Source organism: Homo sapiens, chromosome 22, assembly GCF_000001405.40.
Source record: "Homo sapiens chromosome 22, GRCh38.p14 Primary Assembly".
NCBI lineage: Eukaryota > Metazoa > Chordata > Mammalia > Primates > Hominidae > Homo > Homo sapiens.
The window spans coordinates 45,413,657-45,434,291 of NC_000022.11; the positions used below are offsets into that span (position 1 = coordinate 45,413,657).

General features: G+C 50.6%; 1 protein-coding gene across 4 annotated transcripts, besides 1 other annotated feature; it reads left to right on the forward strand.

Annotated features, from left to right (window-relative positions):
- Window positions 26-859: an enhancer, noted in NCBI's record as "H3K27ac-H3K4me1 hESC enhancer chr22:45809563-45810395 (GRCh37/hg19 assembly coordinates)". NCBI's record gives its function as "activates a minimal SCP1, AML or CMV promoter by ChIP-STARR-seq in naive H9 embryonic stem cells {active_cell/tissue: H9 hESC(naive)}" and the evidence as "EXISTENCE:reporter gene assay evidence [ECO:0000049][PMID:30033119]".
- RIBC2 (RIB43A domain with coiled-coils 2) lies at window positions 37-18,853 on the forward strand. 4 transcript variants are annotated; one of them, NM_015653.5, is made up of 7 exons: window positions 37-359; window positions 666-747; window positions 3,946-4,290; window positions 8,634-8,752; window positions 12,292-12,519; window positions 17,244-17,410; window positions 18,628-18,853. In NM_015653.5, the coding sequence occupies exons 1-7, from the start codon at window positions 231-233 to the stop codon at window positions 18,704-18,706; spliced, it is 1,149 nt and encodes a 382-aa protein (NP_056468.3). In that variant the 5' UTR covers window positions 37-230; the 3' UTR covers window positions 18,707-18,853. The 4 variants fall into 4 exon arrangements, with proteins under 4 accessions (NP_056468.3, XP_016884255.1, XP_005261581.1 ...); XM_005261524.5 differs by lacking the exon at window positions 37-359 and adding an exon at window positions 422-570; XM_017028766.2 differs by lacking the exons at window positions 12,292-12,519; window positions 17,244-17,410; window positions 18,628-18,853 and adding an exon at window positions 5,641-5,703 and having other exon boundaries at window positions 8,634-9,317.
- The last annotated feature ends 1,782 nt before the right edge of the window (window positions 18,854-20,635 follow it).

Genomic DNA, 20,635 nt, shown 5'->3' on the forward strand with positions numbered 1-20,635 from the left:
AGACGCGGCAAGCGCGGAGCCGTTCCTTAGCAACGAGTTGTTGACATTTCCGAGAGAGCGGGAGCGTCTGTACCTCTGCGGCGTCACTGGGAGCCCGACGGAAAACTGCGCTAAAGGCTTGTCTTTCCCCTGCCCGACCGAAGGAGCCGACCTTGCCTGCGCTACAGCTTCCTTATTTTCGTCGCCTGTTCTCCTGATCCTGCGTGTTCTAAAAACCCCTTAGGCTTTCCATGGGTTCCCAGACCATGGCGGTGGCGCTGCCCAGGGACTTGCGGCAGGACGCCAACCTGGCAAAGAGGAGGCACGCGGAGCTGTGCAGGCAGAAGCGGGTCTTCAACGCCAGAAACAGGATAATTGGGGTGAAAGGGCAGGGGCCGGGACGGGGTTAGAGCGGCAGATGCGGGCGAGGGGCTGCGTGGAGGGGGAAAGGAGATGAGTTCTAGGATGAAACATCTGAGCCAGGAGGCAGCAAACGGCCTCCTGCAGGGCCAATAATGCTCCCTCTCGAGCTCGCCTGGAGTCACCAACGGTTCTCCTCCCCTGAGCCAGATTTTCTACAACTCGTTTACAGTGGGGCAGAGATTAAAAATAATAATAAGTAGGATTGTTATTACTGAATAAAATGATCTGGCTCTAACCCTTCTCCTCTGTTTTTCCATTTATAGGGAGACACTGAAGCCTGGGATGTTCAAGTTCATGACCAGAAGATAAAAGAAGCTACTGAAAAAGCTAGACATGAAACCTTTGGTGAGCATTTCCTGAATGCTTATCTATTGGTTTAGGATTGTGTGGCTTTAGACTCCAGTCTTCCCCACCGTCCCCCTGCCCCGCCTTTTTTTTTTTATTTTTTATTTTTTTTATTTAATAGAGATAGGGTCTCACTATGTTGCCCAGGCTGGTCTGGAACTCCTGCGTGCAAGTGATCCTCCCACGTCAGTCTCCCAAAGTGCTGGAACTACAGGCATGAGCCACGGTACCCAGCCCTCCTTTCTTCACATATATAAAAAGTTGTCATTTTCACACTCTTCTTCCTTTTAAATTTCACAATTTCTTGTGCCCAGTTAACTTAATGCACTGATTCTTCTCTTAAAAACAGCTATTGAATTCGAATGTGGATTATAAGAAATAGATTTTAAGGGTATATGTATGTTTTCCTTCATTTTCTTAAAAAACTGGATAGGAAAAGCCTTAAACACAGAAAGACACACACACACACTCACTTGCTCTGCTCAAAAGTTTAAGACCGTCTATGAAGGACAGCTGTTTATACCAGACAACACATATGTCCGGGCTCACACCCTCAAGCTGACTCAGAGACAGACATGATTCAAATCATAGTATTCAAGTACCTTGAATACTGTTATTCAAGGTATTATTATTCCACTTCAAATACAACTTATTTTCCCCTATCGTGTCCAACAATTTCAACAATTGTTGAAATTTCACACTTTGAGAGGCTAAAACTAGAGGATCACTTGAGACCAGGAGCTCCAGACTTGCCTGGGCAACAAAGCGAGACCCCATCTCTACAAAAAATAAATTGAAAAAAAAAAAAAAAAGAAATTTCAGTGTTTTTAAACACCATAAAGATTTTTATAATAGAAAAAAAAGCAGGATACAAAATTGTACATACAATGGGCTGTTATGTTTTTAAAATATTTTAAAATATGCTCAGAAGAAGAAGAGAGGAAATATGCCAAAATGTTAGCAGGGTAATGTTGGAGGGATAGAATTATGAGTAAACTTTATTTTCTCCTTTATACTGTTCTGTATGTTCTAAACATTTTATCTTTTTTATTAATATTTTTAGTTATGAGGTAATTCAATCTTACAAAAACAATGTGACAGGTACATATGTACCCACCATCAGACTAGATGTTAACATTTTGCCAGATTGGCTTCAGATATCTTCAGTGTTTTTTGAGAATTGTGTTTTTTATATATGTGTATATATATATATATATATATAACAACACTGCCCTGCCCCCTACCTCTTAATTTTCCCCTCCTTTCTCCTCAGAAGTGTTTATCATTCCCATGCTTTTTTTTCTATTTTCTTTTGAGATGGAGTCTTGCTCTGTCTTCCAGGCTGGAGAGCTGTGGCGCGATCTCAGCTCACCGCAACCTCCGCCTCCTGGGTTCAAGCAATTCTCCTGTCTCAGCTTCCCGAGTAGCTGGGATTACAGGTGCACACCACCATGCTGGGCTGATTTTTGTATTTTTAGTAGAGACGAGGTTTCACCATGTTGGCCAGGCTGGTCTCGAACTCCTGACCTCAGGTGATCTTCCCGCCTCTGCCTCCCAAAGTGTTGGGATTACAGGCATGAGCCACCAGGCCCAGCCCCCACGCACTATTTATGCTTGTACTATTTATGTATGTATTCATAACAATATAAAATTGTTTTTATGTGTTTTTAAAATTTATGTAAATGGTATCCTATTGAATAGATCCATTTGCAGTATGCTTTTCTTTCATCCAGGCTTGTATTTTTGAAATTAATCAGTGATTTACATATAGAGAGTATTCATTTTAATTGTTTTATGGCATTTTGTTATATGAATTAACTACAGTTTCTTCATCCATTCCCATACTGATGGCTGGTTTAGATTTTTTTTTTTCAGTTGTTTTGTCATTGTGGACACTGCTGCAATGACTGTCCAAGAATTGTGTCCCTAGCACATGTGAAAGGGATAACTAGAAGTGGAATTGATGGATCAAAGGTAGTTTTATGGGATATTGAAAAATTGTTTCGTTGTAAGTGTACCAAGTTACACTCCTACAAGCAGCAAATGAGAGGTTTTTGTTTTGTTTTGTTTTGTTTTTGAGATGGAGTCTTGCTCTGTCACCAGGCTGGAGTTCAGTGGAGCGATCTCGGCTCACTGCAACCTCTGCCTCCCGGGTTCAAGCGATTCTCCTGCCTCAGCCTCCCAAGTAGCTGTGACTATAGGCACGTGCCACCAAGCCCAGCTAATTTTTGTATTTTTAGTAGAGACGGGGTTTCACCATCTTGGCCAGGATAAGCTCTATCTCTTGACCTTGTGATCCGCCCACCTCGGCCTCCCAAAGTGCTGGGATTACAGGCGTGAGCCACCATGCCTGGCCGCAAATGAGAGATCTTGTTTCCCCACATCCTTACTAATGTGTGCCATTATTAGCATTTTAAATATTTTGCCTTCGATTCATTGGATGTTTCCCACCTTGTATGGGTGATCATCCTTTCATAATTGTATTGATTACTCAGGTTTTTTTTTTTTTTTTTTTTGAGACAGAGTCTCATTCTGTAACCCAGCCTGGAATGCAGCGGCGTGATCTTGGCTCGTAGCAACCTCTGCCTCCTGGGTTCAAGCGATTCTTTTGCCTCAGCCTCCCGAGTAGCTGGGACTACAGGCTCCTGCCACCACGCCCGGCTAATTTTGAATTTTTAGTAGAGACAGGGTTTCACCATGTTGGTCAGGCTGGTCTTATACTCCTGATCTCAGGTGATCCGCCCACCTCGGGCTCCCAAAGTGTTGGGATTACAGGTGTGAGCCACCACACCCAGCCTCAGGTTTCTTTATAGTGATCTGCCTGGCCGTTCCTACACTTTGCCCATTTATTGGGTTGGGGTTTTGGGGTTTTTTTAATTGATTTGTAGGTACTCTTTGTATATTCAGGATACTAATCCTTTAATGGCTGTGTTACTTTTTTGGAGGGTTGTATTACTTTTGCAATCACTGAAAAAATTAGTTTTTAAAGTAGATTCATGGGCTGGGTTCAGTGGCTCACTTCTATAATCCCAGTGACTCAGGAGGCTGAGGCAGAAAGATGGTTGGAGGCCAGGAGACCAGCCCAGGCAACATAATGAGGCCCTATCTCTAAAAAAGTAAATAATAAAAAATAAAATGGATTCAAATTTATTTTTTCCTCTGAATCCTAAGCTTATGGATATGCTGTATCTCTTCCAGCTGCTGAAATGAGGCAAAATGACAAAATCATGTGCATATTGGAAAACCGGAAAAAGAGGGATAGGAAAAATCTCTGTAGGGCTATCAATGACTTCCAACAGAGCTTTCAGAAGCCAGAAACTCGCCGTGAATTTGATCTGTCCGACCCCCTAGCCCTTAAGAAAGATCTTCCAGCCCGGCAGTCAGATAATGATGTTCGGAATACGATATCAGGAATGCAGAAATTCATGGGAGAGGATTTAAACTTCCATGAGAGGAAGAAATTCCAAGAGGAACAAAACAGAGAATGGTCTTTGCAGCAGCAAAGGGAATGGAAGAACGCCCGTGCTGAACAAAAATGCGCAGGTAATGAAACAGAAGAGACGAGCTGGTCTCAACGCTCTCTTCAACAAACCAACCCTACAGTTTTTTTTTTTTTTTAAGCAACCCTACAGTTTTTTTTTTTTTTTAAGCAACCCTACAGTTTTTGTGGGATTTGTTTAAAGTCCTACCAATGTGCACAGACAGCCACATGCTACTTTGGCCCTGTGGGGAAAGAAAAGTCAGAGCCTGCCCTCCAGGAGGGAAACACCTGCAATGACACCTCAGTCATGTGGAAAACACTTTCCGTGTCGGGGTCCCAGTTGGATGCCGGCGTGCAGAGGTAACTCAGAATCGGTCCCTGCCCTCCCAGTCTGCGGGGAAGGTGAATGGGAAAGATGCAGGTCTTCCTGAGTCTCTTGGGTGCTGTGGTAGAAATTCCTACAGGGGACTTTGGGGGTGTAGTTGCAGGCATGGTGGTCACATGCCCTCACCAGGACTCCCCAAGCCCAGGGAACCTCTTGGGCAAAGGCTCCAAGGCATGAAACAGCCTCTCATTGAGGGAACTGCAGAAAGCCCCATGTGTCCTCACTGAGGTCAGCAGCATTCTGCTCTCCCAGCTCCTCTTCATGCCTGCACTCGAGCAGCACTGACCCGCCCAGCCACTTCTGTGCCGGAAAGACCGGGTAACGAAGACGACAACATCCCTGCTCTCTTGGGGTGTGTCAGCGGGTGATGGAATAGTGAGGAGCTATGAGGAAGACAAAACAGGGACCAGGCACAGAGAGGAATGCACTCCGCCTTCTTGAGCGCCTCCTCTCTGCTTGTTAGTTTGCAGTCTCCTTGCTCGGCCCATCCTCCTCCAAGCCTCTTCTCTCCCCAGTCTACTCTCCATGAGTGATGTCTCCCCAGATCATCTTCTCCCATTCTTCTCCCACTCCTACCAGATTTATGCCCTCCCTGCTCCACTGGAACTGCCCTGGCCAACCTCACCAGTGACCTCCATGTCGCCCAATCCAAGGTCGGTTTTTGACCTTCATCTGGACCTAACAGTCGATCACCTCCTGCTCCTGGAAATGCGCATGCAATTCAGCTTTCAGAACACCACTCTCACATTAGCTCCCTTCCCATCCAGGTCCTTTGTTGGTTTCTCATCTGCTCAACCTCTGGATGTTGTTCACACCAGTGCTCTCCTCTACCAGCTAAACTCACCCGAGTGATCTTGTCCGGTCTCATGGCTTTAAATGCCACCTATAGGCCATCATTTCCCAGGTTTATACCTCCAGCCTGGACTCTTCCCTGAATCCAGACTCATAAATTCATCTAACTTCTCTTGGATGTCTAATGCACTTGTCAAGATCAGCACGAGTCCAATAACTCTGTTCTTCCCTGCAGACCTGACCTTCTACCCACATCCGTGACAGCTCCTTTCTTCTAGCTGCCCAGGCCCCAGCCCAGGTAATCTTGACTCCTTCCTTTCTCTCCATTTTTCAGCTACTTTCCACACCCTCCAACATTCCCATTCTGAACTAAGGCTATCAGCATCTCTCGGCTGGGCGCAGTGGCTCATGCCTGTAATCTCGGCATTTTGGGAGGCTGAGGAGGAAAGATCACTTGAAGCCAAGAGATCAAGGCCAGCCCGGGCAACAAAGTGAGACCTCATCTCTACAAAAAATTAAAAAGTTAGCTGGGCATGGTGTCGTGCCCATGTAGTCCCAGCTACTCAGGAGGCTGAGGCAGGAGGATCACTGAGCCTGGAAGGTCAAGGCTACAGTGAGCCGTGATTGTGCCACCGCCCTCCAGCCTGGCCAGCAGAGTGAAACCCTGTCTCAAAAAAAAAAAAGACCGGGCACAGTGGCTCATGCCTGTAATCCCAGCACTTTGGGAGGCTGAGGCGGGCAGATCACGAGGTCAGGAGATCAAGACCATCCTGGCTAACACGGTGAAACCCCATCTCTACTAAAAATACAAAAAATTAGCCGGGAGTGGTGGCGGGTGCCTGTAGTCCCAGCTACTCGGGAGGCTGAGGCAGGAAAATGGCGTGAACCCGGGAGGCGGAGCTTGCAGTGAGCTGAGATTGTGCCACTGCACTCCACCCTGGGTGAGAGTGAGACTCCATCTGAAACAAACAAACAAAAAGCATCTCTCAGCTGCTCTTTGGGTCTCTCCCCTTATCCTACAGAGTAAACATTTCACTCAGAGTAAACGATTTTTTTCAGAGACCTACAACGCCTTCACAGTCTGGCCTTATCTCCTGCTATGCTGCCCTCTCACTCCATTCTTTCCACACTATCTTGCTGTTTTCAGACGTGAGTATATCAGGCTCACTTCTGCCTCAGGGCCTTTGCATGTGCTGTTCCCTCTGCTTAGAAATGTCTTTCCCCAGATATCTGTAGGGATCACCACTCTCCTCCAGGGCTGTGCTAAAGTGCTATCTTATCAGTGAGGCTTCCCCTGACCCCCCTATTTTAAACCCTGTACCCTCCTCCCACCCCACATTCCGTATCCTGTTGCTTAATTTTTCTCCATAGCCTTGATCACTGACGTGTTGTATGGTTCATCCATCTCCCAAGTGGTCTAAATTTCCACCTCTGGCCAAAAGGCTTTGTTTCAGCTGTGGACTTGGTTCTTCAGCAGTCTCCTTGACATCTCACAGGACCCTTCACAACATGTCGGAAAGCAGCCCTGGATCCTCTTCTGCATCTGCTCCTTTTTCCATCTTTCTCCTCCAACTAACTGGTACCTCCTGCCCTTAAACCAGAAGTCTAGGGAATCATCCATGACCCACCCCTGACTCCAGGCCATCTCTGACTCTTGTCCCTTCTACCTCCTGCATATATTTTGAACTGTCCGCTTGTCCCCATCCCTGCTGTCACCCTTGTGATGCAAGCCACCATCTCAGCTGAACAGACCTCTGCCAAGATCTTTCTGATGGCCTCCACTTCCTTTCTTGCCCCTCTCTGGTCCATTCCCAAAACAGCAGTCAGTGATACTTTTAAACAATGTGGAGTTTGGCCAGGTGCAGTGGTTCACACCTGTAATCCCAGCACTTTGGGAGGCCGAGGTGGGTGGATCCCCTGAGGTCAGGAGTTTGAGACCAGCCTGGCCAACCTCTGCCTCCCAGGTTCAAGTGATTCAACACTGTTCTTACTTTGGGAGGCCAAAGTGGGCAAATCACGAGGTTAGGAGTTCAAGACCAGCCTGGCCAACATGGTGAAACCCTGTCTCTACTGAAAATACAAAATTAGCTGGGCGTGGTGGTGCGCGCCTGTAATCTCAGCTACCCCGGAGGCTGAGGCAGGAGAATTGCTGGAACCCAGGAGGCAGAGGTTGCAGTGAGCCAAGATGCACCACTGCACTCCAGCCTGGGCAACAGAGCGAGACTCCATGTCAAATAATAATAATACTATTATTATTATTAATACTATTATTAATAATAATAATTAAATAATTAATTATTATTTAAATGCCACCTATAGGCCATCATTTCCCAGGTTTATACCTCCAGCCTGGACTCTTCCCTGAATCCAGACTCATAAATTCATCTAACTTCTCTTGGATGTCTAATGCACTTGGATGTCTAATTAATTATTATTATTAATAATAGTATTATTAATAATAATAATAGTATTATTAATAATATTAATAATAATAATAGTATTATTAATAATAGTATTATTAATAATAATAATAGTATTATTAATAATAATAATGTTATTATTCTGCAAAGGAGGTATGTCCTGCTTCACAGGTAAGGACACAGGCTCAGCAAGGCTAAGTAATAGTTGAGGTTAACAGAGCTCGGAAATGTCTGGGCTGGGATGTGAGCCTCCTCTGACTCCAAATCTTCACATTTTGCTTTTGGACCTTCTACCTTGACCCCTTCACCTCCTACTCTTCCTCTTTCTCTTACTCATTGGCCTGACCAAGTCCTCCTGCCACTCCACAGTATCTGTCATCTGGCCCCACTTCCTCCATAGAGTCCTGTCTGGTTTCTTGCTCTTTCACTTCTGGATTCCCCTGAATCCTTTCCCAAAACCTCTGCACCTGCTCCCAACCCACTTCTTTTGTCCTGCAGGTCTCAAACGTCATTTCTTGGGGCTGTAGAGTATCTCTTGCCCACTGTAAGGATGTAGCTGCCTCAGGATAGAGCAGGACAGCAAGGGGCACACCACCAGCCTGTCCCAGGACCCCAGCATAGTAGTGATCACTAGCACTCATCTGGGAGCTTGACTCTCCCACAGCCTTCAGAGGCAGGTCCTGTCATTATTGTTCCCGTCCTCATGCTCATGGCTAAGGACGTGGTAGGAGGCAAAGGCACGAACGGCCACACGTGGGAAGGTGCTCCTGTGGCCAGGTCGATCTGATTGCTTCTTGCCTCCTTTCAGAGGCCCTCTACACAGAGACAAGGCTGCAGTTTGACGAGACAGCCAAGCACCTCCAGAAGCTGGAAAGCACCACCAGAAAGGCAGTTTGTGCATCTGTGAAAGACTTCAACAAGAGCCAGGTATAGGTACTCCGCGACCTCGGGCTCGACGACTGGAGGGGAGGATGAGCCCACTACGGCTTCCCAAGGCTCTCCGGCTTCCCTGGGATCCCAGTCTCAGCCTGCTCCCTGGTCACATGACCGGCCCTGACAGAGACCCTGATGGGCTGCCTGATGACAGAGATGGATGAGACCCAGTCCTGTGCCTTAGCTCTGAATCTTGGAGGGAAACCTGCCAAACTAGCCATGTAACCTGGGGAAGTCAGCTCACCTTTCTACACCTCGGTTTCTTCTTCTGTAACATGAGGATGGTGACATCCACCTAGACTGTTACCGCCTAGCTCTGCTCCACTGCCTGGTGCTGGTTTCCATTCTTCCCACCTCTCAGACTTCCCCTTTACTGAGAACAGCTACTTGGATGCTCACCGATGGCAGGGATGATGAAGAAGATCATAATGAGCTCGAACACTGGGGCCTCCTGAGACCTCCCACCTCCTCTCTAAACTCTGGCCCCCCTCCTCCCACACACTCCCCTCCCCTCCAACCTGATGCTGAAATTGCTGAAATAGGTTCTTCTTTTTGTTTCTTTGGTTTTTTTGTTTGTTTGTTTTTGAGACAGGGTCTCACTCCATCACCCAGGCTGAAGTGTAGTGGCACGATCATGGCTCACCGCAGCCTCGACCTCCCAGGCTCAGATGATCCCCCCACCTGAGCCATCCAAGTAGCTGGGACTACAGTCACGCGCCACCATGCCCAGCTAATTTTTGTATTTTTTTGTAGACACAGGGTTTTGCCATGTTGCCCAGGCTGGTCTCAAACTCCTGAGCTCAAGCAGTCCTCCCGCCTCAGCCTCCCAAAGTGCTGGGATTACCACATCTGGCCCTCTTTTCGTTTTGGAAATTAGAGCTCGCCCCCCTGCCTCTCCCTCCCCCCACAAGGTTTTCTTTTCGAATGCAATTCTGTTTTCTGGTGGGTGGGGACTTTGCCTGGGTTCATTGATCAGGTTCGCTCGTCAACTAGAACTATGGTCCCCAAAGAAGGCTGTGCAGGATCTGTGGGAGAGCAGATACCAGAGCCCTGCTTTATATTCATTTTTAACCTCATCACTTTTGATTTCCATGTACATGTGTAGTTATAAGCATGTGCTATCATTAAGGTATAGTAGTACCATGCTGTGAACTAAATATATTGGAGATACAAGCTCAAAACTGTCCTGGTGGAGGCAGGCAGTCAAAAATCCCAGAGAGGCTGGACCAGACACCAGAGAATGTGGGTTTTCAACACGGGGGAGAGGAATGAGGAGAGCCAACTGCGGGGGCTGGGGAGGACCAAAAGGCAAAGCAAGACACCTGAAGTCCGAGCTCACCACCCAGTGAGCTGCAAAGGTCTTAGAGATCATCCATCCCTGCCCTTCATTTTACAGAGGGCGACCAAAGAGGGGAGGCTGTTTGCTCCAGTCCCCACTGCAAGTGAATGGCAGGATGTGGGGCCCTTGACAATTAGTCCACTGTTGGCTGGTGATCTGCTCATTCATTTATGGAAGCGATGGTGATGATGATGATGATAATTCACTCATTCATTCATCAATTCAACCAATGTTTATTGAGCCCTTCCTGCTGGGCATTGGAGTGGCTTTTGCTAAACCCTATTGTCTCATTCATCAATTTATTCATTCATATATTCTAGAAGATGTTTAATGGGCATCCACAGCCTGCCTGGTTTTCTCAGACCCCCGGCTCCTCACGTGGATGCCACGAGGCAGCACCATTGCAAACACTCCTGCACTGGGAAAAGCCGCCCTCTGGCTTCTGCAGCTCTGCTACTAACTACAACTAGGCTTTTTAATTAACCTGGGATGTTAATCCAAAGCCCAAGCAGGCCGGTCCAGTTCAACAGGAAGGACACACGTGAGGGCCTCCAGTTCTTGGGTCGGGGCTCATTTCGTCAGAGAGGCATTGTGGCATCAGGGTGTGGCACGCAGGCTCTGGAGCCCGACCACACGGGGTGCAGACCAGGCTCTGCCCTGCAGCCTTGGGCAGGCCACCCACTGCGTCCATTTGATCATCTGCAGAATGAGGAAGCGACAACACCCTCCTGTGTCGGTCAGAATGTGCTAACCCTTGCTGGGATAAGAAGCAGCAGTCTCAGTGGCTTAAACAGAAAGTTGATGTTCCATGCATGCTCCCTGCCCGCCATGGACAGGCTGTGAGGCCTGTTCCTTGGCATCCTCACTTTGGAGCCCAGGTCCTGGGATGGAGCGACCGCCAGCCAGAGGATCCCTGCAGGAGGAGGGAAGGAATGTGGCTAGTCCCCGCAGGCTTCCTCCCAGGAGCAGTACTGCCACCTCTGCTCACATTTCTTTTTTCTTTTTTTTTTTTTTTTTTGAGGTGGAGTCTTGTTCTCTTGCCCAGCCTGGAGTGTGTAGTGGCGCGATCTTGGCTCACTACAAGCTCTGCCTCCCGGGTTCACACCATTCTCCTGCCTCAGCCTCCCAAGTAGCTGGGATTACAGGCCTCTACCACCACGCCCAGCTAATTTTTCTATTTTTAGTAAAGATGGGGTTTCACCATGTTGGCCAGGCTGGTCTTGAACTCCTGACCTTGTGATTTGCCCACTTTGGCCTCCCAAAGTAAGAACAGTGTTGAATCACTTGAACCTGGGAGGCAGAGGTTGCAGTGAGCCGAGATTGTGCCACTGCACTCCAGCCTGGGTGACAGAGCGAGACTCCGTCTCAAAAAAACAAACAAACAAACAAACAAAAAAAAACGGGTGTAGGGGCTTGGAAGGATGAGCTGACTTCCTTAGGGAGTACTCAGTGGCAAGTCCGGTATTGAAGTTGGGCCTGTCTAACTACAAAGCTTGTACTGTGTGACTCAATCAAGCTGGCCTCTGGTGAGCACATGTGGGAGGCCGGCTCCTTGCAAACTGCCCTGTCCATGTGTTACTGAGGACAACTGTAAACCCAAGTACATGTCTCCTAAGCCATCTCCTGACTTTACAGAGAAATGACTGCAGCCCAGAGAGGGGAGGTGACTTGGTATAGGCCACATAGCCAGGGAACCCCCAGGGAATCAAACAGAAATGAGACCTGGAATTACTTTGTACTGGGGGCTGCAGCTCAGGACCACTGAAGTGACAGTGCATTTTCTACCACTGTTGTCAATCACTCTGTTGAGCGTTCTTTGCAGCCCACAGATGTCCAAGGGTTGCCAGGGGCATAGAGCCCTGCCTTGGGTGGGACCAGGCCCACGCGGGGTGTCGGCCTAATCCAAGGAGGGAGTTCCCTGCCTTGGTAAGTTGGTGCAAGACCCGGAGCTCTTATGCATACACCCAACAGGTGGTGATCCCCCGAGTCCAGCCCACCCGCCCAGCAGTGCGCAGGCAGCCAGGGGTTCAAGGACCCACCCACATCCGTGCCTGACAAGTCTCCCCTCCACCCGACTCCTGCTGCCCTTAGCATATCCTCCCCTCGAGGGCCCCCAGTGAGATTTGCTGGCCTGGGTGTCAGAATGCCCCTGGGGTCACTCGGACCATCTTCTTTAATGTCTTCACCTGCTTAGGCCATCGAGTCAGTGGAAAGGAAAAAGCAAGAGAAAAAGCAAGAACAAGAGGACAACTTGGCCGAGATCACCAACCTCCTGCGTGGGGACCTGCTCTCCGAGAACCCGCAGCAGGCAGCCAGCTCCTTCGGGCCCCACCGCGTGGTCCCTGACCGCTGGAAGGGCATGACCCAGGAGCAGCTGGAGCAGATCCGCCTAGTCCAGAAGCAGCAAATCCAGGAGAAGCTGGTGACTGCCCCGCCCCTTTTTCCAGAGCCCATAGAGCCAGGCTCTTTGCTCCCACTGCCTTCCAGGCACAAATGTAGTTGTAGCAGGCCTTGTGCTCTGCCCTAGCACCTGCCCTCAAGGAGTTTCCCTTCTAGTCGGTGGGAGACAAGAGCCAGATAGTGTCACACCCGTATGATGTGGCATTAGGAGTAGGAGTGCCAAGATAGAGGACAGTAGAATGGGAAGACATTGAAGCAAAGACCCAAAAGAGGGTAGGGAGGGAGCCATGTGTCTACCTGGGAAAAGGGCGACCGGGCAGGGTGAGCTGCAAGGGCAAAGGCCTTGAGGCAGGACCCTGCCAGACCTGCTCAGAGAAGGGCGTGGAGCCTGGTGACTAGAGTGGAGTGAGGAGAGGGGCAGGTACGGAGGCCTCAGAGGCAGACGGTCGAGGTCCTGGCAGTCCACTGGGGAGGACTTTGGCTTCTTCTGTGACGGAGACGGGGAACTCTGCAGGGTTTTGGACAGAGAAGTGACAGGATCTGACTTAGGTTGAACAGGATCCCCAGCGTGATCCCCCTGGATTGAGGGCAGACACTAGGGGCTGAGGGGGAAGGAAGGAGATCTCCAGGAAGGCCTTTGCAGTGTTCACAGCGAGAGGTGATGCTGGCTGGGACCACGGGGCAGGCAGTGGGGGTGCTGAGCAATGGTCAGATTCTGGATCTGTTTTGAAGGTAGAGTCGACAGGATTGGATGCATGATTGGGTGGGGACGTGTGAAAGAGAGGAGTTAAAGGCGACTCTAGGTCCTGTGGCCTGAGCAACTAGAGGGATGGAATTGGCATTTCCAGAGATGGGGAAGGTGGTGGGAGGAGCAGGTTGGTGGGTGGGGAGGGGTGGAAATCAGAGTTACAATTTTGGATACGTCAAGTGTGCAAAGTCCATTAGATATCTGTATCTATTAGGATTACATTTGCCTGAATGTGGCAGAAAACCACACATAACAGCATCTTAAACAAAATAGAACTTTCTCTCTTGCAAGTAGACTAAATCCTCAGGAAAACAGTCCAGGGCTGGTATGGCAGCTCTGTGGTCATTGACTGATGTCCTGCTATCCTTGGCTCCTGGCTCTCACTTCTTAGTGCAAGATGGCTGCTTGAGCACCAGCCATCACATGCATAGTCCAGCTACCAGGAAGGAGGAATGGAGAACACTCTAAGGAGATTTCCACTTACATTTCACTGGACAACACTTAGTCACAAGGTTGCCCCTAACTCTAAAGAAGTCAAGGAAATGCGTTTATTCCAGACAGTGAAGTGCTGGTGATTGTTTTACTAAAGAAGAACGAAAAATGGTTACTGGGAGACAAGTAGTATTTTCTGCCACAATCTCCAATTAAAGCCCAGGAGGCAGCTGGATATGTAACATAGGGCTCAGAACAAGGTCTGGGCCAGAGGCATAAATGTGAGTCGTCACCTACAGAGAGAATGTATGCATGTATTTTGAGACAGTCTCACTCTATCACCCTGGCTGGAGTGCAGTCATGCAGTCTCGGCCCACTGCAACCTCTGCCTCCTGAGTTCAAGCGATTCTCCTGCCTCAGCCTCCCCAGTAGTTGGGATTACAGGCATGCACCACCACACCCAGCTGCTTTTTGTATTTTTTGTAGAGGTAGGGTATCGTCATGTTGGCCAGGCTGGTCTCAAACTCCTGGTCTCAAGTGATCCACCCACCTCAGCCTCCCATAGTGCCGGGATTACAGGCGTGAGCCACCATGCCCGGCCCTACAGAGAGTATTTAAAGCTGAGGACTGAGTCCTGCTCCCACCTCCCCAGCACCCCCCTTCTCACCACCACTGTTGATAAAGAGCAAAGGCATCTGAGAAGGGGCCGCCAGGGAGGTGGACAGATGCAAGCCGTGGTTTCCTGGAGGCCAAGTGAGGAAAGGTGTTTGGGAGGGAAGGAGAGGGGAACCCCTGGGTCAAACGCTGCTGCCATGCTCAGGCTAAACGCTGGATCCAGCACCATGGCAGTCACCAGGGACCCTGTCAGGAAGGAGCATGTTTGGCAGAGGAGTGGGGCTGCCAGCCTAATGGGCTCAAGAGAGAACAGGCAGGAAACGAATGGAGATGGCACATGCAGACAGCACTTACAAGGCGTTTGCTGTAAAGGGTGCAGAGAAATGGAGTAGGAGCTGGTGGGGGCCATGAGGTGAAGGGAAAGTTTTTGTTTGTCTTGATTGTAGAAATAACAGCATGCTTGTCATTCAGCCGGAGTGATGCAGTAGAGGGGGAAATTGATGCCAGAGGAGAGACTTGCTGGAGCCGTGTCCCTGGGCTGCAGGAGAGCGAGGGACATGGAGTGCTAGTTGAGGGCTTGGTGTGGCCTCTGGGAGCTCAGAGCCATCACTGGAGTCACGGGAAGGGGCATCAGGGCGGGAGCTTGCGGGTGAACAGAATTGAGACCTGAGTTGATCTGTACTGGGGGCTGTGGCTCAGGACCACTGAAGTGACCGTCATTTTCTACCTTTTAGAAGTAGAACTGAGCAGGGCCGGGGGGAGTTAGTGCTAAGTGGTCATCTAGAAGAGCTGGAGAGGGAACAGCCTGGAGGAAGGGGACAGGATGGTCAGACAGTGCCCAGGGCCCACTAGGGGGTCATAGTCAGATGACTGGGTCACCCCATAGGTCTGGGTCACCCCATAGTCTGGGTCACCCCAGAGAGCACTGTCAGGGTGTCCCCCACCATGCTTAGCCAGATTCATTGTGGTCACCGCCTGCCTGATCAAGTGAAGGACTCAGGGGGCCGAGGGTATTGGCCTGGGAGCATCTGCCATGAGACGAACCAGGGGGCCAGAGAGAGATTGGAAAAGTGGCGGCCAGCAGACTGGAGGTCACACTTTGCGGGGGGCATAATCATTGGAATCAGGGACTTGGAGAGAGAGTGGAAGAGACAGGTTAGAGCAGTGAGACTGTTATTGGTAATGACAACGGAAGGGTGGAGGGTCCCAAAGGGAGGGTCTCCGGACCCACAGCATCGGCCGGGTGGGGCCTGCAGTCTGTGGTTTCGAAAGCCCCCAGGGGATTCTGATGCCTACTCAAGTTTGAGAACCACTGGTAGGGTGTGCCCAGTGGGTGAGAAGGTGAAGCCGGGACTAGATCTTTGGAGAGGAGGCAGGAGAGCTGAGCAGCTGGGGACAAGAGAGGGCTGTCTCTGTGTGTGCTGAAACCACTGAGAATCCTGGCAGGAGAGATCTGGAGAGGGTCTCAAACCTGCAAAGAGTGGGTGGAAGAGGCCAGGCTGGGGTGGCAGGTGCCATAGTTGGTGTAAGCTTCTGATCTGGTGGGTCTGGGGAGGAGGAGGGACAGTGGCGGTGGCGTGGACCAGGGCATGAGGAGTGGGTGGGGCAGCTCGTCCACCTGCTTCCCTGCAGGCCAGAGGTGCACATGTGTGGGAGGCTGCAGTGGGGCCGGGACCTGGGCAGGCAGGGGGCGTGAAGTTCAGGAAGTAGTCCAAGGTGGAAAGGGCGCCGGGGCTGGAATGGGGGTCCAGGGCCCTGCTCTGTGCTTCAGGACTGCCGCTCTGCCTGGACCATCTGGCACAGGAGATCGGCCGGCCATCCTGAAAGCAGTATTGCTGTCTAGTTTTCATTTTTTGTAGAAAATTAAGAAGACAGAAAAGCACAAAGGGGGAAAAACACACATGAAACCTCCCCACTCAGAACTACTGCCCGCTTCCTTTCTGGGTCCTTGCCTCCATCCCCTTTTCTATGCTTGGAGGTAACTGGGAAAGTTGAGATCTCACCTCAAACAGCTGGGCTGTCTGCTTTGCTCTTAGCCCGGGTGAGTGTGTCCCATGCCATTCCCTGTTTGCCACCAAGCAGCTTGTGTGATGACCCTGGGCTCCTGAGAGCAGCCTGGCTTTACAGCGGGGGACACTGAGGTTCATGAGAGCAGGGTGACTTGCCTCGTGGGTGACAAAGCCCGCCAGCCTGCCTTCAGTCCCAGGATGGGGCCGCCCAGACCCCCGTGCCACTCACCGGACACATCCTTGCTTATTTGGCGGGAGGAGGCTCTGCCCTAAAAATGGCAAACGTGGGCAAAGGGGACTCGTCTTCAGCCCTAACAAAGCTGACAACACACGGGGAAGTACCCCTTCCTCCACACAAATCCAGCTTCCTCTTCCAGGGCTCCAGAGTTTTCACAGTGAGGAGGGCAGTGAGGAATGAGCTGAAACATAGCAACTCAGGGGTTGGGGTGCCCCTCTAGGACCATAACCTTCCTGTCACCGGGTGAGGCTGTGGTGTCTGCATGTTCTGGAAGCTGCCCAGGTGATCTGCGTTCAGCTGTGGGGCAGCCGGCCATGGCTCATGGAGGTGGCATCTGACAGCTGACTGAGCCAGGGAGCCCCCTGAGGACCTGAGAAGGAAGACTCTGGGCCCAGCCTGCACCTGGGAGCCCTGCACCCCGGAGCTGGGAGTGGAGGCTGCTGTAGGAATTGAGTCCCTGCTGTGCCTTTAGGAGAAGGAGGACGGCCAGCACCTCCTGACGGGGGAGGGCAGCTGGGCCACATGGAATGAGGGCAGGCTGGGGGTCTCCTCTGGCTTCCTGCATGACATCGGTCACCTACCTGCTCGTCCTCTGAGCCTCAGTTTCCCCATCTGTAGAATGAGAGGCCAGGCCTCCTAGATAATCCCCTGGGGTTCTTTGGCTCTGGGGAAAGGTGGTGGTGAGCCGCCTCTTTTCCTTCCAGAGGCTCCAGGAAGAAAAGCGCCAGCGAGACCTGGACTGGGACCGGCGGAGGATTCAGGGGGCTCGCGCCACCCTGCTGTTTGAGCGGCAGCAGTGGCGGCGGCAGCGCGACCTGCGCAGAGCTCTGGACAGCAGCAACCTCAGCCTGGCCAAGGAGCAGCATTTGCAGTGAGTGCTGGGTGGGACCAGGGCCAGGTGGGGGACCGGGTGGAGGGACCGCGGGGCTGTGGAGGTCAAGGACGAGGAGGGGGCAGGAGGGGAAACACCCCGCCCTGGTGGTCCTCATCTGGACACTGTGGACCTCAAGTGGGCTGGCTTGGGTTGACAGACCCATGGGCCACAGGTCACTGCTGTCCACACGGGGTGCATGGGTGGAGGGCACCGGAAAGCCCCAGGGAAGAGCACTGAGTCTGCTGGGGGAGTCAGGAAGGCTTCCTGGAGGAGGCTTCATTGGTGAGACCCAGGAGGAGGATGGCACTGCCTATTCAGGGACGGCTTTCCAGGTAGAGAGAGGGGCTCCTGGGCTGCCCCAGAAAAGCCTGGAGTCTCTTGGTTATAGACAGGACTCCAAGAGTTCAGAGCTCCAGCTACAAGAAGATGTCAAATGCAAGCAAACAGGTGAACTTGCACCTGAAAAACACAGTATTTATTTACTTATTTATCTAGCTCTTGGCTTAAACTCAGGGGGGACCCAGGAATATTTTCTCCAATCCGATATCTGGTTGCTTGTGGGTCCATCTGTTATCACTTCTGCTGAAGGCCTAAAAGGAGCATTAAGAGTGATCTGAGGGCTGGGCTCGGTGGCTCACGCCTGTAATCCCAGCACTTTGGGAGGCTGAGGCGGGCGGATTATGAGGTCAGGAGTTTGAGACCAGACTGGCCAACATGGTGAAACTAAAATAAAACTAAACTAAAAAGACAAAAATTAGCCAGGCATGGTGGCACACAGTTGAAATCCCAGCTACTGGGGAGGCTGAGGCAGGAGGATGGCCTGAGCCCAGGGGCTGGAGGCTGCAGTGAGCAATGATCGCACCACTGCACTCCACCCTGGGTGGCAGAGAGAGATGTTGTCTCTAAAAACAAGAAAAGAATGATCTGAGAAATCAAACAGGGTGAACACCCACGGAGATTTAATTTTCTTATGTCCCCAAATGTTACTGGTGTAAGTCCCTAATCTAACTGCAGTGTAATTAAAAAGTGACCCTCGCCGCTGAGGAGCGGTTGAGATGGATCATTTTGGGGGGCTCATTAGGTATGAAACGTATTCTGTATTTTGGGGATAACACACTAATAAAAAGTTTGTGTGCCTTTTCAAAAAAAAAAAAAAGAAAGAATAGGAAGTATACACATTTGCTGACCTTTTTTTTTTCTCATTTTGTTATCAGGAAAAAATATATGAATGAAGTCTATACAAATCAACCCACGGGAGACTATTTCACACAATTTAATACAGGAAGTCGATAATGAGGAACACACCCTTGTTCCCGTCATTCACGTATAAAGAGTGGCTACCTTAAAGAGTCACGTTTCTTTTTTAAAGATACACTCCTTGGGCCACAAGTACCCTTCAGCTGTAATCGTCCACTGTGGACAAAACATTTATCTAACCTCTCCCGTGTATTTCTGTGAGGAACATTCGTTTCTGTTCAACTCAGCTCAGCGAAGGTCTTGAGTGGGGCTCTAGGAAGTAGCTCCACACGGGCCTGCTCAGGGCCACCCTAGAGAGAGGTGGTATTTAAGGTGGTATTTAAGGTGGGCCTGTGTTCCGCACAGACTCTAGGTTCAGCTGCAGTAATCGTTACTGCTGCCAAATGCGAGCTCTGTGCAAATCCAAACACTTCATGTAGAATTCACTAATGTGATTCTCACAACAGCTGGTGGTGCGTATTTTTACTACTCACATTTTCTAGTTGAATAACCTGAGTTACAGACACGTTAAGTGACTTGGCGAGGTCATACCCCCAGGAAGTGTGGGCGCTTGGGATTGAACCCAAGGATAAGTGGCTCTCAGGCACTTCACTCGGCCAGCTCCTACAGCTGACCTGAAACAGCAGTGGCCTTGACACAACAGAGGCTCGGCCAGGCACTATGGCTTACGCCTGTAATCCCAGCACTTTGGGAGGCTGAGGTGGGCGGATCATGAGGTCAGGAGTTCAAGACCATCCTGGCCAACATGGTGAAACCCCGTCTCTACTAAAAATACAAAAATTAGCCGGACGTGGTGGTGCGCGCCTGTAGTCCCAGCTAGTTGGGAGTCTGAGGCAGGAGAATTGCTTGAACCCAGGAGGTGGAGGTTGCAGTGAGCCAAAATTGCGCCACTGCACTCCAGCCTAGCGACAGAGCAAGACTCTGTCAAAAAAACAAACAGACAAAAACAAAACCAGAGGCTAATTTCTGCTCTCATAGAAGTGCAAGCTCATATGGTGGCTCTGCTGAGGCTCCTTCCAGCTTGTGGCTCTGTCCTCTCCGCTGCCACACGCAGCTCCTGTCTTGTGGTCCAGGATGCTGCTCCGGCCTCCACCATCCTGCCACGCTCTGGCCAGCAGCGAGGAGGAAAGGCAAAAAAGAAGGGGGTCGGCATGCTACTTCTCCATGACAACATGGAGACATGGCATGGAAAGTGCATTTCACCTCCGCTTGTATCGCATGGAGCAGAATTCAGTCATGTGACCACACCTACGTGAATGGAGGCTGGGAAGCTTAGCTGGCTGACCGTGTGACCAGACCATCATTCTACAACTGTATACAAATGAAGTAATACATATTAGGGGACAACTAGCTATCTGCTGCAGGCCACACTTGAAGAGTGACTTGGAAATTGCCAGGCAGGAGGTGTGGGGAGGCATTTTCCACTGAGAGTGGGGACTAAGTCCAGCCCTGTCCTTGAGGTCAAGGACAGGATTTCTGGCCCCAAAGCCTAGAAATCACTGGGTTCCCCCACCCCAGTTAACCTCTTCCTCCTCCACATGGGTTTCTTGTGGGGCCATATACCCAGGGCCATTGACAGATGGCAGCTCTTGGCATGTTATCCTTAGCTGAGATAGAGCTGGATACTCCAGTGCAGACAGCTTAGCTCACTTTACCCTCCGTCTAAATGCCCCTCTGGTTCTTCCCATGCTCAGACCCTTCACTGGCTGACGTTTCACCTGAGCCTCAGGATCGGTAGGGTTTTTAGGTGGACAGAGTGGGGCTGGACTTGCTAGCAGGCATAAACAAAGGCACTGCGGTGTCCAGGAGAGAAGTGGCAGGGCAGTATCCGCTGAGGTGGGTGTGTAGAGGGCCTGGGGTCTGGTGTGGGGTGGGGGTGGAAGGAAGAGGTGTGTGGCCAAGGTGTGAGGAGCAGGCGGGCCGACGAGGAAGGCTGCAGACTTTATCCTGAAGGCAAAAGGGGAG

What these genes read in the sequence shown, in the direction of transcription:
- RIBC2 (NM_015653.5), top strand. Translation starts at nt 231, where the DNA reads ATGGGTTCCCAGACCATGGCGGTGGCGCTGCCCAGGGACTTGCGGCAG. An exon ending in CCAGAAACAGGATAATTGGG is followed by an intron (nt 360 to 665) that starts GTGAAAGGGCAG and finishes TTCCATTTATAG; the next exon opens with GGAGACACTGAAGCCTGGGA. An exon ending in GCCAAGGAGCAGCATTTGCA is followed by an intron (nt 17,411 to 18,627) that starts GTGAGTGCTGGG and finishes TTTTGTTATCAG; the next exon opens with GAAAAAATATATGAATGAAG.